Here is a 20,234-nt window from a genome sequence, read left to right as displayed (position 1 = left end):
TCCCCGGTTAAAACTTGATTTGTTTTGACCTGGGAGCATGGCTGCTTTGAGAGGCGCTCAGCTCATGAGCCTACAGGAAATGCTGCAGCTCTTGGTGACACACTCGCTGCAGGGGCAGGGCCCCAGGAGCCAGGCTGTTTGCTTCTCTCAACATTATGTCAATGGCTCTCCAGATGCTACTTTTATGTGATGAACTCACTTCAGAAGCACATTTGGCCTTCCGCGGTGACAAAAGCCCTGCCTGCCAGTGACTGATTTACAGTGAATGAAATAATCTCTTTCGATCTTTAGGACTTAGTTTATGGGACTCCTGCTATGACTGAGTGCCTGTTATTTCTGTTTCCATGGCCCCGCCTTTCCTCCTTCCTGTGGCTCCCATCACATAGGGGAGAGACAAAGGAAGGTTCATAAACAGAAATTGAATTTAGAAGAGGTAAAATGAAAGTCTCTTTGCAAACATATGGGGACAAAAATATATGGGATTCAACTCTTTTGACTCACACAACCTCATTTTCAAATGTGTAGTCATCTGAAGATCTTGCCTAGAACACTTTAAGTGACTCAGATACAGGGTTATATTGTTTAGCTCAAGAGACAATATGGCATGTCGATTAAGGTCATGGACTCTTGAGTTACAGAGAACAGACTTCAAATCTTGGCTCTGCCGTCTAGAACCTGTGTGTACCAATCAGGACCTGTTGGGTGCAAGTGAAAGAAAACCCAACTGAAACTGACTTAGGGTGGGGAGAAAAAGGATCGCCATTTTTCTGTCACCTCTCAGTTCTGAGTTCACGCTCTTTGTTAATTTTAGGTTTGTCAAGTACTATTTCCTATCCTTGAAATGGTCTCCGTTTTCCCAATCCTCCCCTTATCTTTTTAAATCATAGCTTAGCTATCACCTGCTTCATAAGGCTGTAGTTACTGCTGAGGTGACCACCCATACTCACCTCCAACTACTGGGAAGTGTGTGGCTAACAGCTCCCACCTAAGCGTCTCTCTCCAGAAAACGCCTTCAGTCAAAAAGAACTGCCCCTCCCAAAGTCACTCTACCTACCTGGGGACAAGCCACATCCCATGACTCTCCCATGTGGCTGTCTCAAGAAAGTACAAGACTTGGGGCCATCCCAGCTTCAGAGCTTGCTGCTGTATGAGTGGAGGCCTTCGTTGCAGCTGCATCACATTCAGCTTCTCTCTTGCTGGATCCCATTTCCTTCACTCCCCAGCAAGTGTTGATCTCAAGGCTACTCCCTGAGGAACGTCTTGCATGAAAATCTCCATCTCAGAGCCTATGTCCTGGAGAATCTGATTTAAGACAGATGCTACCCTTGACACTTCATAAGGTTAGGTCAGATAGGAAGTCCAGGAAACTTTAATTTGAAAATCACCAAAGCCCTAACTCTATATTACTTAAAAATAAAGATATGTATTATCTCCCATGAAGATTCCTAAAAAATAGTACAGACCTCACAGCTGGTCAATTCACTTGCTCAGTGACATCATGGAGACCCAGGTGTTTCTCCTCCTTTTGCTAGACTGATTTTAGCGCTGGATTCATTCTCAGGCTGTCACAAAGTGGCTGCGGCAGTTCCAAGCATGACATGCAAACATAAGAATGCCTAGAAGAAAAAGAGAGAATGTCTCTTCTTACAGGAAAGCACATATTTTTCCCAGAATCTCCCCCCGGTAAGCCCTCATAATCTCATTGGCCAGAGTTGGGTCACATGACCACTTTCTAAACCAATCACTGGCTAAGAGAATGAGGCCCACGTGGGGATGGGGACGTCGTCTTCCTGTGAGGAACTTGGCTAAGGGAAGGTGTGGATACCTGAATAACATTGGGATTATGTTAGTAAAGAATAGGGTGAATGGATGGAAGGAAAATCACCAAGAACAGCATCACCTTCTTTCTCTGCGTCCCTAGCAGGCCATACTCCCCATAAGAGCACCTATTATAATGCAGTGAAGAAATCTGCTTCCCCCTCAGTCTCCCTCATGAGACAGAGCTTTATGCAAGCAGGGACTTTTCCTACTTGATGCCAGGCGCCATTCTAGGCACTGGGAGAGCAGATGATGAATAAAACAAAGCCCCCACCCTTTGAAGTTTACATTCTGGTAAAAGAGACAACAATAAACAGACAAAGCCAACGGGTAGTATAACATCAGTGGTGGTGAGTCCTATGAACAGAAATAAAGCAAGAGAAGGTGATTAGGGGGGATTAGGGTGCATCTTTAGAATCTGCTCAGGGAAAGCCTCTCTGATAAAGTTACATTTGAACAGAGGTCTAGGGGAGACAAAGGAAAAAGCCACATGGTATGCTAAGTGCATGAACCCAGGGCATGATTGCCTTGTTCAAGGAGAAATAAGAAAGCCAGTGTAGGAAATAAGCGGGGATGAGTGGAGTGCTGCCTCATAGCAACAGAGTGTGGTCCCCAGTGTAACTTAAATTTTTTCTCTTCTTAGCCACATTTTTAAAAATCAGGCAAAATTTATTTTAGTAAGCCAATAGAATCAAAATATTACTATTTTAACAGTGATAATATGAAAAAGTATTAATGAACTAGTTCTCATTACTTTTTCATATTCCCTTCAAATATTGCAAGCACAAGAATGTCCACAATGGTGGGTTTCGCACCCACAGTGTATCTGAGTTCCAGGTAGCCATGTTTTAAGGACTCAGTAACTGCATATGGACAGCACAGACTGAGATCAGCTGAACTTGGCTGTCAGGTTTTTATTCTTTGGGCTTTTTGTTTTGTTTTGTTTTTGAGATGGAGTCTCGCTCTGTCACCCAGGCCGGAGTGCAATGGCGTGATCTCTGCTCACTGCAACCCTCCACCTCCCAGGTTCAAGTGATTCTCATGTTTCAGCCTCCCAAGTAGGTGGGATTACAGGTGCCTGCCACCACACCTGGCAAATTTTTGTATTTTTAGTAGAGACAGGGTTCCGCCATGTTGGCCAGGCTGGTCTCGAACTCCTGACCTCAGATGACCCACCCACCTCGGCCCTCAAAGTGCTGCGATTACAGGTGTGAACCACTGCGCCCTGCCTGGGCTTTGTTGTTAATAAGATGGGAAGCCACTGGAGAGTTTGAGTGGGAATGTGATTTTACTGAATTTGTTCTAAAAAGGATTGAGGTGGCTTTGACGGGAGATTTTCTCCTACAGGCATCAGGGGTGGACGTAGACAGACCAGTTTAAAAGGCTACACTTACGTGGCAACCATGAGGAGGGAATAACCCCCAGCCTTCAAACGCAGAGGTGGCTGGATCACAGCTGGGATGCGTTCCCCTAGATTCATTTCCATCCCATCCCTCCATCTGCACTGGAAGGGTGGGCCTCAGGCACACAGAATTTCCATGAGGGAGGCTGACCTACCCCATCATGCGCTCAGCTGTCTTCATCTCAGAGTCTTCATTTGCCTACGCATAAAGGAAATCACAAGTGGTAATTACTTCAATTTGTACAAAGCATACAAAACCAGACCAAACTCTGTGATGGTACTATCCTCCCTAGATAGCACTAACAGGCATTTTTAGCTTAGGAATCTTGTCCTCCAGTCTATGGCCATACCACCTTGAACGCTCCCGATCTCATCTGATCTCAGAAGCTAAGCAGGGTCGGGCCTGATTAGTACTTGGATGGGAGGAATCTTGTCTTGGGGCCTGGTTAGTACTTGGATAGGAGGAATCTTGTCCTCCACCGAAATCGTCTGTGGAAGCCACAGACACACAAGCCTCAACCTGCAAACGGGTTAGGTTTCATCAAGCTCGCTGTACCCAGGTCCCAAGACTCTGGACAAGTGACAGATGCACACCCATCTAAATAAAGCCAGGCTCTGTATGCTGACACCTCTTGTTCTGTTTTGTGCTCATAGAAGTTTTATTCAAAGATGTTTACATGGTGACCTTCTTTATATCATAAATAAGGCATGAGCCACCTTTATAAATAAACCATGACACCTAGATGTTAAGTGGCCCTACACAATGCTTATGCCATCAGCTGGTGCTGGGCAGAGTGGACCTACTTTTGCTCTGGCGGTAGCTTCATTTGTCTCTAGCAGTGTTTCTAAGTTGAACTCTTTATATACAATTAAGGACAGATTAGAATGGTCTTGAACTAGCCCTGATTGGGTGTGCTTCTATCTTTTCCTTCAAAGTAGCCCCTGAGCCAGCTCTGACAAACACAATTGAAACCCATCCTATTGTTACTGCCCGATGGTTTCAAAATTTCAGGCATTCACACATTACTCTCACAGTTTTTATTTTCTTTTTTGAGGTAGGGTCTCATGCTGTCACCCAGGCTGGAGTGTAGTGGTGCAGTCTCAGCTCACTGCACCCTCCACTTCCCAGGCTCAAGCGATCCTCCCACCTCAGGCTCCCAAGTAGCTGGGACCACAGGCATGCACCACCATGCCTGGCTAATTTTTGTGTTTTTTGTAGAGACAAGGTTTCGCCATGTTGCCCAGGCTGCTCTCAAACTCCTGACCTTGAGCAATACTCCCGCCTTGGCCTCCCAAAATGCAGGGATTATAAGTGTGAGCACCGACCACCCTCACAGTTTTTAAACAGCTTTATTGAGCTACAATGTAGATGCCATAAGATCATTTTAAGTGTACAATGTAGTGATTTTTAGTAGATTTGCAGAATTGTGCAACCATCACCCCGAACTAATTTTAGAACATTTTCATCACCCCTAAAAAACCCTCATGCCCTATTTGTTCTCTCCCTTTTCCCATCCCCAGCCCCAGGGAATTACTAATCTATTTCTTTAGATTTGTCTTTTCTGGTCATGTCATATAAATGGACTCAAAGAATGGCATTTTGTAAGTGGTGGCCTTCCCGTAGCATGCTGTTTTTAAGATTTATCCATCATGCATCACTACTTCATTTCTTTATATTGGCTGCCCTCACAATTTTTGTCACATTCAAGTGCCACATATATTATTCCTTTCTTAGAAGAGTATAACTATCTAAAGTCAATCACTTTTTAAAAAGCTGTGCTAAAAACATTAGGACTACCAAGGGAAAACCAATATTACTTACAGTATAATGGAAAGTAACTGCAAAATAAATAGAAACAAAATAAAATACTGTCATGAATTGTGTCTCCATAAAAAGATAAATAAATAAAACTGTTATTTAGCTAGTTACTGACATCTGAGCAACTTTGGGCACATTTAGGGTGGGCATGTTTAGAATTCAGAGCACAAACGAAATAGAAGTGGCCTGGTTTTGAGAGGCATTCCGTCAATACATAAATAGGCTCACCTATTTATCGTAATAGCTTTGCTATTAGTAGGTGCTTAAATGGGTGTCACTGGAATTAGAGCTGTATGCTTAGAAAACTTTAGTTCTCAACTCTACATCTTAGGGAACAGTCATTCAATAATTATGCGCAAGACCCTGGCTTGGTAAATAATCATGAAACAGGAAACTCTTAATCTTCTTTCCATGCCTGCCTCCAGACCCCCCAAACCCTAGAGAGTGCATATAATTCAACTATAGTACAAGATAAATAGATGATCCTGTTTATGTATTGATGAAATGCCTTTCAACCTGGCCACTTCTTTTATATTTCTTTCGTGCTCTGAATTCTAAACATGCCCATCCCAATAGTCCCTCTAGTGAAATCTTTCACTGGATCTTCAGAGTGCTCTGGATAAAGTCCCAACTCCAGCCAACTCGGTATTTGATGTTTCCTGAATGTGTTTCATACCACTGAGGTTTTGTTCCCTGTCTCAGAAACACGTCTCCTTACATCTCCTTGTACAGAGTCCACTCCTTCTTGAAGACAAGCCCAAGCCTTGCCTCCTCGAAACTTACCTGGTTTACCCAACCCTGCTCTGTGTGTCTGTCCACACGTGTAACTCTCTCCAAACACATAACATGGGATGCTGTACTGTGAACATCCGGTGTTCACAAAAAACCTTCCTGGACCTCCAGATCCCTGAGGACAAAAGCCCTGTCTTTGTTCTGTCTCCAAAGTCTCTCCCAGGATCTCCATTTGTTGTATGAATGACCTTAAAAGGAACCTATTGATTCCAACTGTGGAAATTGGAGAGACAATGGCAACTGCCACCTCCTTGGTAAACACCTTAGATCACTTCCCAACTTGTATTTTAGTGGTGCGTGTTAATTTTGTGTCAACTTCCTCTTGAAACTGCCTCCCAACCTTGAAAACATCCCCAGCAAGGTGATTTTGCAAGCTCACAGTTCCCACACCTAAATTCAGCAGCTCAAAGTCTTCTGTCACCTCCTATTTCTCTTTTCTCGCTACTTCATGGTTATAGGTAGCAGAAATAGCAAGCGTCTGTCCTAGGCTTTGTTCTTGCGAACAGGAGTGTTCTGAGGAAAGAGGCGAAGAATGAATGCATCATGCTGGACAGGCTTCCTGGCACAGCAGAGAGAGCATAGGTGCGGGCTCTAAGGCCAAACACTCCAGTTGTCCACTGAAGCCCCTCCCCTCTAGCCAGTTCAGGGGTACTATTCTTGCAACAACCCACTGTTTTCTTGTATCATAAAATTTTCCCTCTCTGCTCTATCATTCCTATCAGAACACAAACATGCCGCAATATTTCTCATCTTAAGAAAAATCATCCCTGATCTGTTTGGCTACTGTTCCATTTCTTTGCTTTCCTTTATTGTGCACACACATAAAAATAATTGTCTCCACTTGTGTTCTTCCCACTCTCTCTTGATTTCTACCCCAGAAAGAGACTTTTGTCAAAGTCAACAATGATATCTAATGTCCTACAACAAATGATGAATCCTCAGTCCTCATCTAACTCAACCAAGCAGCAGCATTTGATGCAATTAATTGCTCCTGTCTTCTTGAGATACCTTTTTCCCTTGGCCTCCACAGTCTAATTTTTGTATCGTCTGTCCCACTAACTATGCCTTCTCAGTGTTCTTTGCTGGGTCTTATCTTCCTGGCCTCCGATATTGGAGTGCTCCAGGGCTGCACTCCCTAGCGGTTTTAACCATCCCGTAACATTTAATACTGCCTCTGTGGCAACAAATCCCTTATTTTCATCTCCAGCTCCATCCTTTCCATATACAACTGTCTCTTAATATCTCCCCTTGAGTATCCAATAAGTATCTTGAACATAACAGGTACAAAACCAAACCCTTGACCCCACTCTGCTCAAATCAGCTTTGACCAATATCTCCCCATCTTAGTAAATGGCATCTTCTGGTTGTGCAGACAAAAAAAAAAAAATGTTGAAGTCATTTTTGTTCTGCCCCCCACTCACCACACACATCTAAGCCATCAGCAAGTCCCACACCACTTCCCTCAAAATGCATTCAAAATCAATCTACGTCTTCTACTCTAGACGAAGACTCCACCTTCTTTCCCTGGTTCACTGCAGTGGCTTCCTAAGTGGGCTCTGGGTCCTACCTTTGTCCCCCTACAGTTTGTTCTCTGCAAAAAACCTAGGTAATACAAAATGTAAGTCAGATAAGGCATAACTCTCCTCAAAACACTCCTGCAACTCCCCATCTCCCTCTGAATTGAATACATAATCCAAAATCTGTGTAGTAACTATAAAACATCCTATGATATGGCCCCTCTTCACCCCTCTGATGCCACTTTCCCTCCTTGGTGAAGACGTCCCACGGCAAAGCCTTCACATTAGGCTGTTCCCTCTGCCTGGAATGTGGTTCCTCCAGATATTTTCATGACTTGCCACTCCCTTGTTCCCCCCAGGTCTCTGCTCAAATGTCACGTCATAAGAGAGGTCTTCTCCAATCACCACAAATCAAATTGGCCCCCACTAGGCTCCTCAAGTCTGCTTAATTTTTTAAAGCACCTACCACCATCTGACATACTATATATGTATATATTTATTTGCATGTTGTGGTTCACCCCTTCTAGACTGTGACGCTTCAGGAGAACAGGAATTTTTCTATTTTGTTCACTGCTGTATCCCCAGAGCCCAATATAGTGAATGCATGCAGTAGGCACTCAATTAAATATTTTTGAATAAGTGAATAAAAGTCAGACAGAGTTTGAATTCTGACTGTGGCACATAATAGCTGTGTGACCTTGGTCATGTGTATCTTCTTTTCTGAGCCTCAGTTTTTTTAACTATGAAATGGAGATGAGGGCATCTACCTTTGAGGACTGTCATAAAGTTTATCAACAATATATGTAAGTGTCAGAGTAAGGCCAGAGTAATATGGGCAACAAAAGCACTAAAAAAAGTAAGTGCTATTATAGTTTTGCTGTCAATGACAGAGAAGAAATTCACCATGGGTTTGGATGCTGGGATTCAATTATTCATTACCCTTTATCATGAGGGCAACAGGGAGAGCTGTGTCCCCAAAACTTCCTGTGGCATTGAAGAAACCTCAGCTGATCAGATTTGGCCTTTGAGTTATTTAATAAATTTAAGAAACAGTTGCTGGACATCCATCAGGCACTGGGCACCATGCTTACTCTCTGGGTCTGACATTTTGTACAGTTGGAACCACAAGAGAATCCTTTACTTTTATGAGAATGGCCAGGATGTTACCTGCAGAATAGCGAGCAGGTCTTTGCTCATCCTGTGAGCAAAATAGGCCAGATCTCGGCTGCCACCCACACCCAGCCAAGCCCCAGTAGGGCTGGCTGCATACCACTGCCACCATCACCACCCAGCGTCTGGAACGGGGTTAGTGATGAGTGATGGAGAGGACAGAAATACCTCTCGGAACAGGAGGTTGACATTTCTGGGGCAGGGCCTCAAAGCTCTGGCAAGGAGAACAGCAAGGGCACCTTGTTCTTCTTTCTGGGCCTGGGCTGCTCACACCTATTTGCCCAGTTGCAAGAGTCACCGCCTAATGACCCATCAGAGTGACGCCTTCATGGGCGCATGGCTTGAGGGCAGAGGGTGGCATCAGTGGGGCTGAGGAACAGGCACTGGGCTTGGAGCCATGAGCTCAAGCAGGGAGTCCTGTCCCAGCCTCAGGTTTTGTATGACATTCGGTCATTTACCTGGGGATCTGCTGACTCAGGCTGCAAGTGCCACCACGTGGTGGCTAGGCCAGTTTCTTCACCTCTGAGATGCTGAGATGCTCATCTACAAAAGAAGATAAGTATTAGGTTGGTGCAAAAGTAATTGCAGTCTTTGCAATTACTTTAATGGCAAAACCGCAATTACTTTTGCACATCTCAGGGCTATTGGAAAGATTAGTGAAAGGTTTATTATATGAAAGTGCACGGCTGACTGGCAGGTGGGGTGTTTCCCTTTCAAAGCCTCCACTCCCTTACCCATTAAATTGGGGCAACATCACATCTATTATCCTAGAAGTTGCTGTGAATGTGTATAAGAGGATGTAAGCTGTTATTATCATCCTTCCTTATTTTTCTTTTTGAGACAGGTTCTTACTCTGTTGCCCAGGCTGGAGTGCAGTGGCGTGATCACAGCTCACTGCAGCCTCAACCTCCTGGGCTCAAGTGATCCTCCTGCCTCAGCTTCCCGAGTAGCTGGGACTACAGGTTCACACCACCAAACTTGGCTTTTTTTTTTTTTTTTTTTTTTTTTACTTTTAGTAGAGATAAGATCTCACTATGTTAACCAGGCTGGTCTTGAACTGCTGAGCTCAAGTGATCCTCCCACCTTGGCCTCCTAAAATGCTAGGATTACAGGTGTGAGCCATCACATCCAGCCTGTTATCACCCTTCTGTTGTCTCGAGTGTTCTAGGCTGAGAGCAGAAATCTTTGTTCATACTTCTGTATAATGGGCATCATTCTCTATCACAGTCTATTGTGTGTAGTCTGCCCACCAAAAATATGTAAGTCTTGTGGTGGGCAGAGACTGTGTCTGCATTTGCTCAACACTGTCATTTCAACACTTGGCACTCAGGGAACAGCTGGGAAATGCCTTGTACCTTGGCAGTTTCCTTTAGACGTTCCATTCCATGAGGAGTCACCTAACTCTTTGCCTTCAAGGAACCCCAGGCTAGGAAGATGGACTGACTTACTATACAGGTACAGGGCTGGTGATGGACATCTGTGGTTTGTGTCTGCCCATTCTCTAATGACAGGATCCCCAAACTCTCTCCCTTCACCGCCCCCCAACCTGACGTCTCTTTAGGAAACTCCATCTCCTCTCTCTGGGACCACGTGACTTGGTGAGGCTCATCCAAGAACTAGCTAATCAGCATATTTTTCTTCCAACCACAGTGATTGTTTTAGGGATAGCCATGTGACCCATATCAGACCAATGAGACACAGTCTTGGGATTTTTACTTCATCTATTGGGCCAGGAAGGCTCTTTCTACTGGGACTGTAAGCAGAGTAGGAAAAAGAGAAGAGTCAGTCATATTAACTCTTGATGACATTTCAATCTCTAGATCCAGCCAACAACAATTAGTGTCATTGTTATTAATATGTCACTGTATTTCGAGTCCAGATCTCAGACTGTTCGGTTACAGAAGCCAGTGAATTCAAGTTCTCTCTCTTCGCTTACACTGCTTTGAGTGAGGTTTCTATCACTTGCAACTGAAAGAATGCTGAGTAATTTCTAGCTAAAATACGTAAAGGACACAGTTGGTGGCATGAACTAAGTAACGCAGGACTTAGTAATTGTGTCTGAGAACACTGGCAAACACAGGCAATAATTACCCTTGAAAGGGCAAATAAAATTTTAACCAGGCAGCCTCACCCTGACCTTCTTTTGCCACAAGCTAGGCTCTACTCATTTTCTAGTTAAGGTGCAAATGCCCTAGTTCCTGATTTGACATGCACAATATTGAAGAAGGAAAGAAAGAAGAGATGAAGAAATGACAGCCTTCAAGGAGCGATATCATTTAAAATTTAAAGTTGCTGAGTGTTGACTGCACAGTTTGTTAAGAGGGTATGCAAATTATATGCAAACTGTATGCATATTTAAATTGCAAATCCCTTGTGACCTTCCTACACTGTGTTCTACACACCTGGGATGAGGCCCCAGGGGGAAACACTGGTGGGACTTTCAATCAACATGTATTTATTTAATAAGCTCTTACTCTGCCTCTCTGAAAGGTGTTCAGCCTACAAGACTTGGTCTCTGCCCTCGAGGAGTTGGCAAGTAAGCCAGGGAGAAGGGAGGAACCACAAGACACAATTAGTGCATAAGAGAAGACAAGATGTAATTAAGTGCTAAATGCTGGGCTGCAAACTGGAAGCAATTGGGTGAAGTTGCAAGGATGCCAATTTCAGCTCAATGCAAGGCAGAACTTTCTGGTGGACGAACCTGTCACTCAAGGGTAGTACAAACCCAGTTTCCATCTTACCAGAGCTTGATACAGATTTGAAATAATAAGAATAATGATAGTAATCATGGAGCTGGGAATCATACCAAATGGGTTTCAGTACTGGCTCTGTCAACAAACCATGTGACTTTGGCCAAATGCCTTTGTTTCTTCATCTATAAAGCGGGTCTAAATATCGCCCACCTTGCAGCATCATGAGCTTTAGAAATCCTGCAGGTAAGGTTTGTGAAAGACCCAAACTCAGAACAAAAGCAGCAAAATGTCAACAGATGAGAGTCCGGTGGACAGGGTGTGGTGGCTTATGCCTGTACTCCCAGCACTTTGGGAGGCTGAGGCAGTCAGATCACTTGAGGTCAGGAGTTCGAGACCAGCCTGGCCAACCTGGCAAAACCCTGTTTCTACTAAAAATACAAAAATCAGCTGGGCGTGGTGGAATGTGCCTGTAAACCCAGCTACTCGGGTGGCTGAGGCAGGAGAATTACTTGAACCTGGGAGGCAGAGGTTGCAGGGAGCTGAGATTGTGCCACTGCACTCCAGCCAGGGCAACAGAGTTAGACTCCATCTCAAAAAAAAGAGTCAGGTAGAACAGAGTTCAGAGTCCTAGGTCTGCCATTTACAAGCTATTTATGTGGCCTTGGGTGAGTCATTGAGCCTCTCTGAACATCAAAAAATCATCATCATCATCATTATTATTGTTATCAGTGTTGTTGTTATTATGTCACTATAAATCTAATAAAGATGCTATAGAGATTGCTAAGCACCCTTAGCACAGCACCTGGTGCAGGTCTTTAAAAAAATAATGACATGTATGTATTTACACAAACAGGCAAGCACATATTTGTACACATTTGTATTGTAATCAGGACCAGCCTTCCATCTTCTTTAGAAGCCTTCCCAAGAGCAAGTGGGTGTTCCCACTGCTTGCTGATGAGTGAGCTCTTTGAAAATGGAAACCAATCAAAAAGCACACTTACAATTGCACCCCAGAATCATCTCTCTAGCGCTCCCACAATGAATTTTTTTTTTTTTTTTGAGACAAAGTCTCACTCTGCTGCCCAGCCTGGAGTGCAGTGGCATGATCTCAGCTCACTGCAACCTCGGCCTCCTGGTTTCAAGCAATTCTCCTGCCTCAGTCTCCGGAGTAGCTGGGAATACAGGCGCGCACCACCATGCCTGGCTAATTTTTGTATTTTTAGTAGAGATGAGGTTTCGCCATGTTGGCTACACTGGTCTCAAATTCCTGACCTCAGGTAATCTGTCTGCCTTGGCATCCCAAAGTGCTGGGATTACAGATGTGAGCCACCATGCCCAACCTCCTTTCTTAAATGAGTCTTTGTTTGTTTGTTTTAGAAAAGTAGTACACACTAATAGAAGAGTATTTGAGAAATTTCATATACAAATAAATATGTAACTGTGGATTACCCACACTTTCTCTATCCACATAGGGGTAAAGACCACTTCCCAGACTTGTGGAAACAAACATACCACAGGAACCTTTGTGAGCTAAACAACTTCCCAGGTATGACCACAAAATATGTTGTGACAACATATGGGCTAGAGGGCAAATGTCGAATCAGACACTGAGCTGTTTTTCAAGAAGTGCCTGGGAAAATACCAATAAATACTGCCAGTCACTCACCGGAATGACTAAAATGAAAATAAAACTGACAACATCAAGTGTTGTCAAAGATGTGGAGGAACAGGAACTCTTGCAGTGCTGGTAGGACTTTCACTCGGTACATCACTTTGGAAAACCAGCAATATAATCATTAACACTAAACACCTGCCCATCCTATGACTGAGGAATGTCACTCCTACGTACATGGCTGTTTTGTACTGAATTGTGTCCCACCCAAAATTTGTATGTTGAAGTCCTCTCAGTAGGGTCTTTAAAGAGGTGATCAAAGATTAATGAGGTTACTGGAGTAAGCCCTAATCCCCATATGACTGGTGTACCTATAAGAAGAGGAAATCAGGACACAGACATCTACAGAGGGGAAAAAATTTATGTGAAGGCACAGGGCCATTTATAAGCTAAAGAGAGAGACCTCAGAAGAAACCAAAGCTACCAACACCTTGATCTTGGACTTCTAGCCTCCGCAACTAAGAAAACAAATTTCTGTTGTTTCAGGCACCCAATCTGTGGTTCTTTGTCACGGTAGCCCTAGAAACTAGCACAGTGGCCAAGAGAAAGAAGTGCTCCTCCTGCTCACTGAAAGACCTGTGATATGTTCATATGATAGTATATGATGTAGCAGTAAAGAAAGAACAAATTGGATATATGCAACCATATGGGTGAATCTCACAGGCATTGTTGAGTAAAAGAAACCAGACACAAAGAGTACATCTTGTTTGCTTCCATGTATGTGGATGTTTAGGCAAAACTAACATGTGGTGCTAGAAGTCAGAACAGTGGTTGCCTCTGGGAGGTTATTAACTGGAAAGGAGTATAAGAGAGCAAGCTAGAAATGTTCTATATCTCGATCTGGGGTTTGGCTACACATTGTAAATATGTGTAAAAATCAGTCAAGCTGTAATTGTTGCAGAGTCTCTGTGTGGGATGATAAAAAAATTTGGAAGTAGTAGTGGTAATAGTTGTACAAAACTGTGACTGCAGTTCATGCCACTGAATGTTATAGTCTAAAATGGTTCAAATGGGCCGGGGGCAGTGGCTCATGCCTCTAATCCCAGCACTTTGGGAGGCTGAAGCAGGTGGATCGCTTGAGCTCAGGAGTTTGAGACTAGCCTGGGCAACATGGCGAAACCTCGTCTCTACAAAAGATATAAAAATTACCCAGGTGTGGTGACATGTGCCTGTGGTCCCAGCTGCTTGGGAGGCTATGGTGGAAGGATCACCTGAGCCTGAGAGGCAGAGGTTGCAGTGAGCCGAGATTGCACTGCTGCACTCCAGCCTGGTCGACAGAGTCAGACCCTGACACACACACACACGCGCGCGCACACACACACACACACACGTTCAAATGGCAAATTTTAGGTTGCATATCTATTACCACAATAAAAAATGTTCAAAAGAAAAAGAAGTAACCAAGGTGTATGCTTCAGATGTGTGCCCTTTCCTGTATGTTATGCCTCTGGATATAAATAGCAAAAAAACTGTCAGAGAATATTTTACAATATGTACGTGATATAGCTGTGATGTGTACTTTTCTCCAGGAAATCTCATCCTCAAAATGAGGCTATGACTTTTAAAGAAGGGAGGTTTGGCTCACTTCCCTCTAGATTCCCCTTCTCCGAGATTTTCTATTTTATCATTTTTATCTCTTTTCTTAAAATTTCAGTGAATCGTCTTCCCTGATGGCCAGAGTGAGGGTTATGGAGGCCTCATATGAATGAGAATGTCATTGTATAGACTCAAGGAAAAATGTAAAGATCTGATGTAAAGACCTCCCTTTCTAACTCACAACCCTTTACCCCAAAACTCATTTTTGGTTGGTTGGTTGGAGAAGAAGTTTATGAAAAGGGCATAATTAACAGCGCAGGTGCCTTTTGTTACAAGCAAATAATAACAGCGGAAAAAACAGACATATAATTAGTTGGGCTTTTTTGGTGCTCGAGTGTTACTACTGCGGATATTAAGTAAAGAACATGACGCCCGATTGTGCTCTGAGTATGGGGTTGATTCACTTTCAGCTGGTGGAGATGTGGGTTTTTGGGGGAAGTTGAAAGTGGACTTGAATTTTTTTTAATAAAATAAAAAAGATTAACTCCTGAAAAACACATGAGTGAGTGGTTGCAATTTTTTCCTAAGTCTTCCATTGTGGAAGTCTTCCCAAGACCACTTTCTTCTGTGTTCTAGTCATTGTCACTTGGATAAGCAAAAGTATAAATCCTTTATAAAGATGTTCTATTATAAAGACACGTGCATATATATGTTCACTGCAGCACTGTTCACAATAGCGAAGACATGGAATCAACCCAAATGTCCATCAGTAATATAATGGATAAAGAAAATGTGGTACTTATACACCATGGGACACTATGCAGTCATAAAAAAAAATGAGATCATGTCCTTTGCAGGGACTGGGATGGAGCTGAAGGCCATTATCCTTAGTAAACTAATGCAGGAACAAAAAATCAAATAACACATCTTCTCACTTCTAAGTAGGAGCTAAATGAAGAGAATACATGGACACAGAGAGGGGAACAATACACAATGGGGCCTATTAGAGGGCAGAGAGTGGGAGGAGGGAGAGGATCAGGAAAAATAACTAATAGGTACTAGGCTTAAAACCTGGGTGATGAAATAATCTTTACAACAAACCCCAGTGACACAAGTTTAACTATGTAAGAAATCTGCACATGGGCCCATGAATTTAAAAGTTAAAAAAAGATTTCACTAAAAAAAAGTTTGATGTTCTCTTCCACAAACTCTCACTGTTATAACCTATTTCTGTTAATCAAATAAACTAGGGAAAAGACTAAAGCCCATATCTGTCATGCCTACCCCATCAAAACAAAACAGAGAGCAACAGGGAGCAGGGGCACTTCTCAGCCCCACAGTTAATCCAGAAGCTCCTAGCACATGTCCACCTCTGCATGGGATGCCAAGTAGAGAGGGATGCGGGTACTACTTTCTGACCCTCTGCCTATGATGTTCTGCCTGCACCCAAAGATGCTGCTAGTATTTCCTGAGACCTTTGCTCAAAATCCACAGAGCATGTATTCAAAATCAAGCCTTCTGTATCATCTAGGCATGTTTTTACCTGCAAGTGGCACATGGTACCTTACACAGATAAGGGTCTATTTTTCTTACATAACAATATGTCTAGAGGTAAACAGCTGCTGTGTTCATTCAGAAGCTTGGTGATGTCAGGGGTGGTGCCTCTATGTTTCTCTGAATCTTTCCTTCATGATTGTTATCTCATGTTCTCAATTGGCTACTCAGGATCTAAGCATGATGTTCATATTCAAGGCAGGACAAAGGGAGGAAAGGGTGGTGCCAGCTTCATCTTGTCCTTTTTTCAATTGAGAAAGTAATCTTCAGTGCAAAGAGGCTAGAAAATAAATATTTGGCTTTCCAGGCACTATAGAGGAAAGAAGCCAGGGCATGGGGTGAGAATAGTTACAGAATGTCTACTCGGCTAGCTAGCCTCCAGGCCATCTTTGACACACCTTCCACATGGGTGAAATCTGCCTATCCATGTGAATATGGTAAGCATGAAGGCTGAAGTTCTTGAGTTTCAGAGTATCAGGGCTTCCAAGATGGCTGGATTTGTATGTCTCTATTCTCAATTCTTCTTCTGGGTTCTCTCAGAAGTGGATGCCAAGAAGGAATTTGACATGCAAGAGATTTATTGGGGGAAATGCCTATGAAGGATAAAGGAGAAGGGAAGAGGAGGAGGTGGGGAGAGGCTTTAGACCACGATGCGGGTCTGACACCTGGGAAAGGAGAAAGGGAAGGAAAGAGGATGTGGGAGGGAGATGCTGAAGCTGCCTGATTAGCCTCCAAGCACGTGTTGTCTACTAGAAGAATCTTCATCAGGCAGGATGGGCTGGCACTGGCACCCTCACCCTACTTAGTTACTGGCTCAGTGCGGCCAGGAGAATATGGCCTCATAAAAACGCTGTAGTGGATTTGACCATGCAGCAGCTGGAGACGATCAGCCAACCGCCCTAATTACAGCAGGTTTCCTTAAAGGCATATGTAAGCAAGGGACCTCTGTGGCTGCAATTTCAGTCCCTCTCCTATACCTTCGCTTACCTCATCCTTTATCATACCAAAACTATGTGAAATCCTGAGCCTCTGGAAGTTCTATGCAGGAGGACTTCAGTTGGTCATCTTACTGCAAAGAGATGGGGCATTGTTTCGAAGCTGCATTTGCATAGCAGTCATGGCTGCTGTTTTACATGGGTTGCATGGTCACTCCACATGGCTTAGGGTGGATGCTAAAACCACCCCTATGAACCTTGTTTTCTGTTGAATTGTGTTTCCCAAGAAGATAATATTGCAGTCTTGATCCCCAATATTTGCAAATATGACCTTATTTAGAAATAGGGTCTTTGCAGATGTAATCAAGAAGAGGGCCTACTCGTCCTAACCCAATGACTGGTATCCTTATAAGAAGAAGAAATTTGGATGCAGAGACACACCAGAGAATGTCCTGGGATGACAGAGGCAAAGATTAAAGTGGAGCATCTACAAGCCAAGGAACACCAAGGATTGCTAGAGGTCACCAAAATCTAAGAGAGAGGCATGGAACAGATTCTCTCGGTGCCTCCAGAAGGATCAATCCTGCCGACACCTAGATTTCAGACTTCTAATCTCCAGAACTGTGAGAGAATCAATTTCTGTTGTTGTGAGCCACTCAGTTTGCAGTAATAGTATCCCTAGGAAACTCACACACCTCTGTGGATGCTGGCCTTGTCCTGGGCTCCTCCACATGTCTCACAGCCACACACAAGGCCATCAACTCAGACATGGTGGCCAGGATTCTCCTAGTCTTGCAAACTGAGGCTGCAGGTCAGAGAATCTCTCCTGCTTTTTGGGTATAGGGAATAAAATTATCATGCCTGGGCGTTATCAGGTCTCATTTGACTTGCTTCTACATGAGATCTTTCTGTATAGTGTGATATTAGAGGAACTCCCTGGACTTAGGAGCCCAAATGTTCATGATGAGTCAGGCTTTGGGTTGAGAGCCCAGGCTTTGGGGTCAGGTGACCTGAATGTGAATTCTGTCTTCAGCTGTTCGTGGTTAGAGCAGCTTGGGGAGTGTATTAGTCCACTTGGGCTGCCATAACAAAATACTATTATAGACTGGGTAGCTTAAATAACAGAAATCTGTTTTCTCATAATTTTAGAAACTGAGAAGTCCAAAATCAAGGCACTGGCTGATTGAGTTCCTGGTGAGGGCTCTTTTTCTGTCTTGTAGACGTTCACCTTCTCACTTTGTCCTCATATGGTACAGAGAGAAAATGCTCTGGCGTCTCTTCCTTTTCTTATAAGGGCATCAGTCCTATCAGATCAGAGCCTTACCCCTCTGACCTCATTTAACCTTTATCACCTCCTTGCAGTTCCTGTCTCCAAATACGATCCCATGGGGGGTTAGGGCTTCAACACAGGAATCGAGGAGGGGAGGGACAGGAAATTCAGTCCACAACGGGCAGCAACACAACTTCTCAGAGCCTTAGCTTTTCTTGTAAAATGAAGTTGATAATACTTCCTTAAAGAGTTCTGGGAAGGATTCAGTGAAGTCCCTCCTTCATGTGAATGACAATTATATGGCAAATTTTTACCATTATTGTCATCATTATTTTAAAAACAATAATGAGGGCCAGGCATGGTGGCTCACGCCTATAATCCCTGCACTTCGAGAGGCCAAGGCGGGCAGATCACAAGGTCAGGAGATTGAGACCATCCTGGCCAACATGGTGAAACCCCGCCTCTACTAAAAATACAAAAAAAAAAATTAGCTGGGAGTGGTGGTGTGCGCCTGTAGTTCCAGCTACTTGGGAAGCTGAAGCAAGATAACTGCTTGATCCCAGGAGGTAGAGGTTGCAGTGAGCCAAGTTCGTACCACTGCACTCAAGCCTGGCGACAGAGTGAGACTCCATCTCAAAAAAAAAAAAAAAAAATACTGATAATGAGGATGATGATAATTCTGCTGTTCTGGAGAGTGCCTATCTTTGAATACTCCTTACTCTGCCCTCTTTTAATTATTTCTTTTCTAAAAATCCCATTCTTGGCCAGGCATGGTGGATCACACCTGTAATCCCAACACTTTCGGAGGCTGAGGCAGGTGGATGACCTGAGGTCAGGAGTTCGAGACCAACCTGGCCAATATGGTAAAACCCCATCTCTACTAAAAATAAAAAATAAAAAATAAAAAAAATTAGCCAGGAATGGTGGTGGGCACCTGTAATCCCAGCTACTTGGGAGGCTGAGGCAGGAGAATCTCTTGAACCCAGAAGGCAGAGGTTGCAGTGAGCCGAGATTGCACCACTGCACTCCAGCCTTGGCAACGAGAGGGAAACTCCGTCTCAAAAAAACAAACAAGCAAAAAACTCCCATTCTTGACTCCAGTTTCTGGAATTCTCAATTGGGAAATTAAGTACAGTTTAGGGTATCAGTAAAGCAGAGCCCCAGAGAGACTGAGCCTAAAAGAGAATTAATAAGAACATCTGAAAGGAGAAAGCAAGAGCAAGCAAACAAGAATAAATGTATTTCAGCACAACTATATAAATGTGTGTATTTTGAAAAACAAAATTATATGTTACTGCTTACTGTTATTTTGTTCTAAATTGCATATGGCAGCAGTGTGATTGATATTTTCAGAGCGCTGGGCCTCTAAATACTCCAACTGTACCTTATTGATTTTACCTTGTTATGTAACCCTATATGCACCAATGCACCCCACCACCCCCCAACCAGGAAACAGAATAGCATGTGGAAAGGCCCTTTGGCAGAAGAAAGGATGGAAAGTCAAGTTGCAAATGGCAGGCCAGTGTGGCTAGACTAGTGTGAGGCGGAAGGAGAATGTTTTAAGACAACTATGATGTGATAGGGCATTTTAAATGATCCCTCTGGCCTCTGGAAGCCACATGGAGAAAAGGTTGAAAGGAGTGAGCATGGACCTGGGACAGCAGGGGCAGCATCCCAGATGAGAGGTAGTGATGGAAATCACTACTGATACTTATATGACTTAATAATAACAATAAAGTCTAATTCCACCTCTCATTTATGCCTCACAAACAGACTGGGGCGTGTACTGCCTCTGCTCAGAACAAAGCCTAGAGCTGCCTCATCTTGCAGATTCCAGCCCAGGACAAGCGGAGAACAGTAAATGTCAGAATCAGACAATTTGCAAAGACATTAAATCCCCAGCCCCAGACCTAGCTGCAGGTCTGTATGCTACAGGACAGAAGCATAATTTTCCATAACCCAGAGCGGACGTGAAATGTGAAGACAAATCCCAATGCAGGTATTTGGTGACCGAGAACAGAGACTTGGAAGAAAGAGAACGGAAGCAGGAGTAATT

The 20,234-nt window shown here is 43.7% G+C and overlaps 1 long non-coding RNA gene and 1 pseudogene across 1 annotated transcript in view; one reads left to right on the top strand and one right to left on the bottom strand.

Annotated features, from left to right (window-relative positions):
* The window catches only part of LOC132205950 (uncharacterized), a 31,950-nt gene that overhangs the window by 5,872 nt on the left and 5,844 nt on the right, over positions 1–20,234 (bottom strand). Inside the window, exons 2-4 of the long non-coding RNA NR_188388.1 lie at positions 8,977–9,061; positions 3,213–3,419; positions 1,464–1,616 (exon numbers count right to left, since the gene is read on the bottom strand). This is a non-coding gene — a long non-coding RNA (uncharacterized LOC132205950). The remainder of the gene's footprint in view (positions 1–1,463; positions 1,617–3,212; positions 3,420–8,976; positions 9,062–20,234) is intronic.
* On the top strand, positions 3,557–3,664 carry RNA5SP403 (RNA, 5S ribosomal pseudogene 403; annotated as a pseudogene).

The sequence above is a fragment of the Homo sapiens genome, chromosome 16 (assembly GCF_000001405.40).
Source record: "Homo sapiens chromosome 16, GRCh38.p14 Primary Assembly".
Taxonomy (NCBI): Eukaryota; Metazoa; Chordata; class Mammalia; order Primates; family Hominidae; genus Homo; species Homo sapiens.
Note: the sequence above shows the minus strand (reverse complement) of the source record. Positions and strands in the feature narration are given on the sequence as shown.